Source organism: Homo sapiens, chromosome 9, assembly GCF_000001405.40.
Source record: "Homo sapiens chromosome 9, GRCh38.p14 Primary Assembly".
Taxonomy (NCBI): domain Eukaryota; kingdom Metazoa; phylum Chordata; class Mammalia; order Primates; family Hominidae; genus Homo; species Homo sapiens.
This window is the reverse complement of record NC_000009.12, coordinates 65,732,991-65,738,990: the sequence shown is the minus strand read 5'-3', so window position 1 is coordinate 65,738,990 and position 6,000 is coordinate 65,732,991. Positions and strand designations below refer to the sequence as shown.

At 47.6% G+C, this 6,000-nt stretch overlaps 2 protein-coding genes across 17 annotated transcripts in view, besides 1 other annotated feature; both read right to left on the bottom strand.

Moving 5' to 3' along the window:
• Positions 566–1,102: an enhancer, noted in NCBI's record as "H3K27ac-H3K4me1 hESC enhancer chr9:70427620-70428156 (GRCh37/hg19 assembly coordinates)". NCBI's record gives its function as "activates a minimal SCP1, AML or CMV promoter by ChIP-STARR-seq in primed H9 embryonic stem cells {active_cell/tissue: H9 hESC(primed)}" and the evidence as "EXISTENCE:reporter gene assay evidence [ECO:0000049][PMID:30033119]".
• Positions 595–1,845, bottom strand: FOXD4L4 (forkhead box D4 like 4). The gene has a single exon (NM_199244.3). It carries the CDS (start codon positions 1,843–1,845, stop codon positions 595–597), a length of 1,251 nt encoding a protein of 416 aa, NP_954714.2.
• Positions 1,846–4,949: 3,104 nt separating this feature from the next.
• Positions 4,950–6,000, bottom strand: part of ZNG1E (Zn regulated GTPase metalloprotein activator 1E) — an 81,063-nt gene continuing 80,012 nt past the window's right edge. For 12 of the 16 annotated variants that reach the window (XM_047422963.1, XM_017014456.2, XM_024447453.2 and 9 more), the window contains 2 exons: positions 5,869–5,998; positions 4,950–5,481 (listed from right to left, as the gene is read on the bottom strand). In XM_047422963.1, coding sequence (XP_047278919.1) covers positions 5,375–5,481; positions 5,869–5,998 — 237 coding nt within the window. In that variant the 3' untranslated portion in view covers positions 4,950–5,374. The remainder of the gene's footprint in view (positions 5,482–5,868; positions 5,999–6,000) is intronic. The other 4 variants (XM_006716914.2, XM_047422961.1, XM_017014455.2 and 1 more) reach the window with 1 other exon arrangement.

Below are 6,000 nucleotides of genomic sequence, written 5' to 3'. Positions count from 1 at the left end.
ACATAAACATTTCCCAAAAATGCTTCCTGCTAAAACATAAGCTCAGTGTGGCTAGAAATGCAGCTCACTTCATAAAGATTAATTGGTAGCTAATTTTGCATGCTGTTCTCTGAACTTCAGTGAAACCTGTCCATCAGGCATACAGGGAATGACGGAAAAGGTGACAACAGAAGATGAATGCTATGTCACTAATCTTCAAAGATGACAATGTGCAAATCGGGACAGCCATAGAAGCCACAACCGAAGGCAAGAAAAGATGACTTGACGCCCTGCGAAGGTTACGTTCAGGTGGTTTTTAGAGGAACGTAATCCAGCTTAGAGGAATGTAATCTTTCTAACCATTTTGCAGCGAACGAACAGAAGTTCGTGTTTGCTCTCCAGCGGGATTCAGATGCACACGCCCAGTATGGGCCGCGCAAGGTGGAGTGAGCAGCTGCGGGTCGCTCCCCACTCCCACCTGGCTCTAGGAGGGCCCTGCGGAGTTGGCCAGGGAACTGGGCGTGGGCGATACTAAAAAAACTGGTGAGGTCCCCTCTCCGCCCAAAGGGGCAGCCAGCGATGTCAGCCTAGAGCCCTCCGCCACTGCCTGATACCTCAGCAGCGCCGACGAGGCCGACAGGTGCCCGCCCAGCACCGCGCCCTTGGTGGGAGCGCAGCCGTTGGCGCAGTCCTCCTGATGCTGCTGCTATTGCTGCAAAATTGTCCGAGCAGCAGCGGCGGCGGACACTTGCAGCAAAGGGGCAGCGGTTTGGGGATGCAACAGGCTTGATGGTCGCTGGAGCAGGTGGCAGTAGCTCCACGCGGTCGGGGACAAACTCTGCGCAGCCCCTGTACCCGCTCCCCTGACCCCTTGCATAATACTCTCAATGCTGAAAGAGAAGCATCCGCCTCCCGGTGGCGACGCCAGACCCTTGCCCTCCTCCCAAGGCTGAGGACCAAGTGAGGGCTGCAGCACGGGAAGGGTGCCGGGGTCGCCAGGTCCGCGCCTTCTGCTTTCTTCGGTGCCCCGGCATAGACGCGGGCCGAGAGCAGTAGGTAGCGAAGAGGATGCGGGTGCAGCAGAGCGTAAGGGCGTCTCCCGGGGGCGGTGTTGGGGTAGGCCCCCGGGACTGGCTGCGGCGGGGCAGGGGCCCCAAGCAGAGGGCCTGGGTGGGGGTTGTGCAGGGCGGCGTGTGCAGCAGGTAGAGGGAAGGGGTGGGGCAGGTGGGCTCCCGGGGTCAGTTGGTGGCGCTTGAAACGCTTCCTACGCCGGAGAAAGCTGCCATTGTCGAACATGTCCTGGGAGGCGGGGTCCAGGCTCCAGTAGTTGCCCTTGCCTGGGTGGCCCGGCTCGCGGGGGATCTTAACGAAGCAGTCGTTCAGCGAGAGGTTGTGGCGGATGCTGTTCTGCCAGGCGGGGAACTTGCGGCGGTAGTATGGGAAGCGGCCACTAATGAAGGCGCAGATGCCGCTGAGCGTGAGGCGCTTGTGCGGGTTTTGCAGGATGGCCATGGTGATGAGCGCGATGTACGAGTAGGGGGGCTTTGCCGGCTGCCGGGCATCTTCAGAGGCCGCCGCAGACCTTGGCGGTGCCCTGAACTTGGTGCCAAACTCTGAAGGGTCACTCGGGCCGCCGCCGCCCTCGATGTGCTCTCGGGGAAGCGCAACCCCGCCCCACCGGGCCACCTGCAGCCCCGGCTGGAGCGACTGCTCTAGGAACTGCTGTCTCGCCTCCTCCTCCTCGTCTTCCACCTCGTCTTCATCTTCCTCCTCTCCCAGGACATCGATTTTACCGTCTTCCCCATCGGAGTCCCGGAGGCTGCGCTGCGGTGTGGAGCGAGGGCGCTCAGCTCTTGGCAGGTTCATGGAGGAGCAGGTGCTTCAGTCGCAGGGGATGTGGCGGCCGATCACCTGGCCTGGGGCGGGCTGAGCTGGAAGCCTGGGATGAATGTTGCAAGAAGCAGGAACGCTAGTGGTTACCCTTTGGGATGTTTTCGTCTGCTTGTTTCTACTCCTTTGCAACAACGTCCGGCAAAGATGCCTTTGCCTTTTATAAAAGCTTCTTCAAGACCATGTGTGGTGGACTCCCCCCTTTATAACCCTTCTTCCCCTACCTCGGAGCGGTGCCACTTCCTCCTAACGTAGTCCAGGGATGATGGTCTTCTGGGCAAACACTGTCCGGAGAAAAGCCCAGGCCCCTCCTCCTCGCACCCACCTGCCACCAAGGAAGATGCTCTACTCATCCGGTGCAGCCAGACAGTTGGCAAGCCTTTGCACGGGTTCTGTTAAGGCGCATTTAAACCCGCGCAAATAAAAGCGAGGTAGGAAAGTATGATACTCAACATTCTATGACCACCTCGACATGCAGCCTTCCCTCCTGGAGAAAAGAAATGGTGGGGCAGGAGGCTGAAATGTACACGGTTGTTTGTAAAGGAATGTGTAACCGTAAAAGTATGTTTTTGTGTTTCACAGCTGGTAATCACCCATTTTCATTGGTAGAGTCTGTCCTTACCCAGAATGGTGAGCTGAATTATATTTAAGGTTCTGACAATATTCCCAGGCTTCAGGGGGGTGTTGCTTTGCTCCTTCTACCTTCCTTCCCACCTCCCCAAGATGCTCTCCCTGACTCAAATTTTCAGAAAAGGTCCAAATGTCCCAGCACTAAATTGTGTAAGTTTATTCAGGGAAGGCAGGAGAGCTCACACGGAGTCCTCTGTCCCCTTGTAGCAATGGTTCTCCAATTTCTTTGAATATTTAACCACAGAAATACATTTTATATAACAATCTTACACATACAGACATAATACATAACTAAGATGGGTTTCACGAAACAATATACTTACACTATAGTGATGACTGATATTTCCTTTTAAAAAAAAATGGCCATAACCAACTAAGTTGATTTCACACGTACCAGTATGGGCCCAGTTTGAAAAATCCTGTTCTTACAAAGTGGCCCCACATACAAGAAATGCACCCACTCTATAAGGGCTTCTCTCTCTCCCTTTCCTCCTTCCTTTCTTCATCCTTTATAACCAATTCATTTTTAGAGACAGGGTCTATGTTGAGCAGGCTGGCTTTGAATTCCTGGGCTCAAGTGATCCTCCCGCCTCAGCCTCCTGAGTAGGTGGGACTACAGGCGTGCCACTATGCCTGGCTCTGGCTCTGGCTCTTCATTCTTTTTCTCCTTTTTTTTTTTTTTGAGACGGAGTCGCTCTGTCGCCCAGGCTGGAGTGCAGTGACACAATCTAGGACCACTGCAAGCTCCGCCTCCCGGGTTCACGCCATTCTCCTGTCTCAGCCTCCTGAGTAGTTGGGACTACAGGCGCCCGCCACCACGCCCAGCTAATTTGGTTGGTTATTTATCTGGGACGGAGTCTCGCTCTGTCGCCCAGGCTGGAGTGCAGTGGGGCGATCTCAGCTCACTGCAAGCTCCGCCTCCTGGGTTCACGCCATTCTCCTGCCTCAGCCTCCCAAGTAGATGGGACTACAGGCGCTCGCCACCACGCCTGGCTAATTTTTTGTATTTTTAGTAGAGACGGGGTTCACCGTGTTAGCCAGGATGGTCTCGATGTCCTGACCTCATGATCCGCTTGCCTCAGCCTCCCAAAGTGCTGGGATTACCGGCGTGAGCCGCCGTGCCCGGCCTCTTCATTCTTTCAGAAATGTCAACATTAAGTGCTTTTACTGTAATAAAACTTGGGACTTCAATGAGGCAAGAAGGGGCTGCAGTGTTGCCTTTAAATCAGTGGGTCCTCATTCACTATCTGCACTGGGGAGGGGCAATATGACAGCACAACTGTTCATCTCACTCGCTCCACATCCTTAGAAGTAACGCGATTTTTAGATTGGCTTCATGAAAATTAGCTCAGAGACTAAAGTAGCACTACAGAGGAATAAAAAAAAATATTTGTTATATAAATAAGGCTCTTATTAAAATACTAAGTAAGATACTATGCCACGGTATATATTCATAATTTAAAACCCACCTACTTGGGAAAACTTTGAGGTGCCATCTAATAAAAAATGCAGCATGAAAGAATATTATGCCCTTGATAGTCACATAGTGTCTATAATTATGACAATGAATGTTCAGTGAGAAATCAAACGCCAACTGCAAGGGCAAAATATAATAAAAAATAGCTTAAAGTAGCTAGTGCCTTCAGGATAAAATCTGGAAAAGAGCTTTCTTGCTGATCTTTTTTTGAAACTTTGCTGCTCCTGAAGTTTTTACCCTTTAGGGCTCCTCAGTTTATATGAAGCTTGGAGGACAAATAACAGACAGGTTTGAGCCTAACAGATTTGTTTGAATCCCAAATTTACCAATGACTGCTTGTGTGACCTACTAAACTAAGCTCCAGGAGGGCCAGGCCAGGTGTCTTATTCAACCACATAATCCCAGACGCCTCCTCCCCAGCGCCCCCCAGCATGTGAGGCAAATTTCCTCCATCAGCATAGGAATCGGATGACCTGGGAAAGGGAGTATTGTTAGTTTTCCTAGCGCCAGCTTCAATAGGGATTGGGGTTATTTAAAAATACAAGAGAAAAATAAGGAGGCGCTCAAAAACAAAACACAAAACCCACATTGATGGGGGTATGTCAAAGGGGGGAACAGGAGATAACTGAAAGAGTTCCCAATGGTCAAAGCTGGGAAAATTTGAGCAACAAAATAAAGTAGTATTAAATTGTAACCCAAAGTATAAAATATTCGTGTCCACACTGATAAACATAAATGATCAAACTAATAAAGCGAAAGGGACAACTGTCCCTTGCAGAAGAATTTCAATTAATTATGTAGACCACTCCCAAGAAAGTACACTACAACTCCCCATTCCTTTAGTGTGGGCTGTGCATAGTGATTTCCTTCCAAAGAGCACAGTATGAAATGGGGGAGAAGAGTAACTTTACAATGCAGAAACCTGACAAACACTCCTTCAGCCAGGTGATCAGGTCGTCAACATCAACATCAATAACAGTCATAACCTTTTATTTCATGTCATAAAATGGTGACACTTACTTGTGTTAAAAAAATTTAATAACAATGTAATCATTATATCTCTGCAATCAGCTGAAGTTCTAAGAAAAAATGACGATGTTGAAAGTTGTATCATCATTATTATAAACTTTCATGTTCAGTATATGTAAACTCCAAAGCCAATTTCAAAAGATATTTTTGTGAAATACCATTCTTTAAAAAAAAGGATATTATATATAATTGTATGAATGTTAAATGTTTTACAGTACTGATTTGCTACATTTTATGTATGCTGTAAAACAAATACCATTTTAAAGTATATTGGAATTCGTAACTAAAGTAATAAATAAATGCTTGAAATATACCCAGTAGAAACTTATTTTTATTATCCAATCCTTTTGATAAGAAATGCCACTAGTGTTATGTACAAACTTGATCTTCTTTGAAATGTGTTGTCCACTGCTTTTCTGTTTCTGTCACAGTAGCTATAAACAGCTGTTTAAGGATATCCTTATCTAAATTTCTGCCTGCAAACAAAACAAAATATGACGTGATTACATTATGCTTATTAAAATGACACAGTTCACCTATCAATTCCAGTTCATTAAATGCTTTATGGTGTTTAGAAATTTACAAAAAGAATAGTAATTGAGTGATTCCATCTTTAACTTTCCAGGTCAGTACATCAAAGTCACATTGGTCCTTGGATTAACCACTTTTCTAAAACTGAAGAAGAACAAAAGTCCTAACAAGCTTTTACGAACGTTGTAACATGATAAAGATGAAACATTGACCACAAGCTTATTTAGTTTTAAAAGAGGACCTGAATGGTTAATCTGTTTAAGTGGCACATGATATCCCTTTCAAATATATTTTTCACTTTGTTTTAAAACTGTGAATCCTTTGAGACTTACCAATGAGGACCAATCGATTTGTTCTCTCAGTGTCATCCTTCCAGCTCACTGGAGTCTCCTCCAGATCATAGAGCTCATGGACACCCTGGACAATCACTTGTTGTGATTTGTCTTTGATTGACACCAATCCCT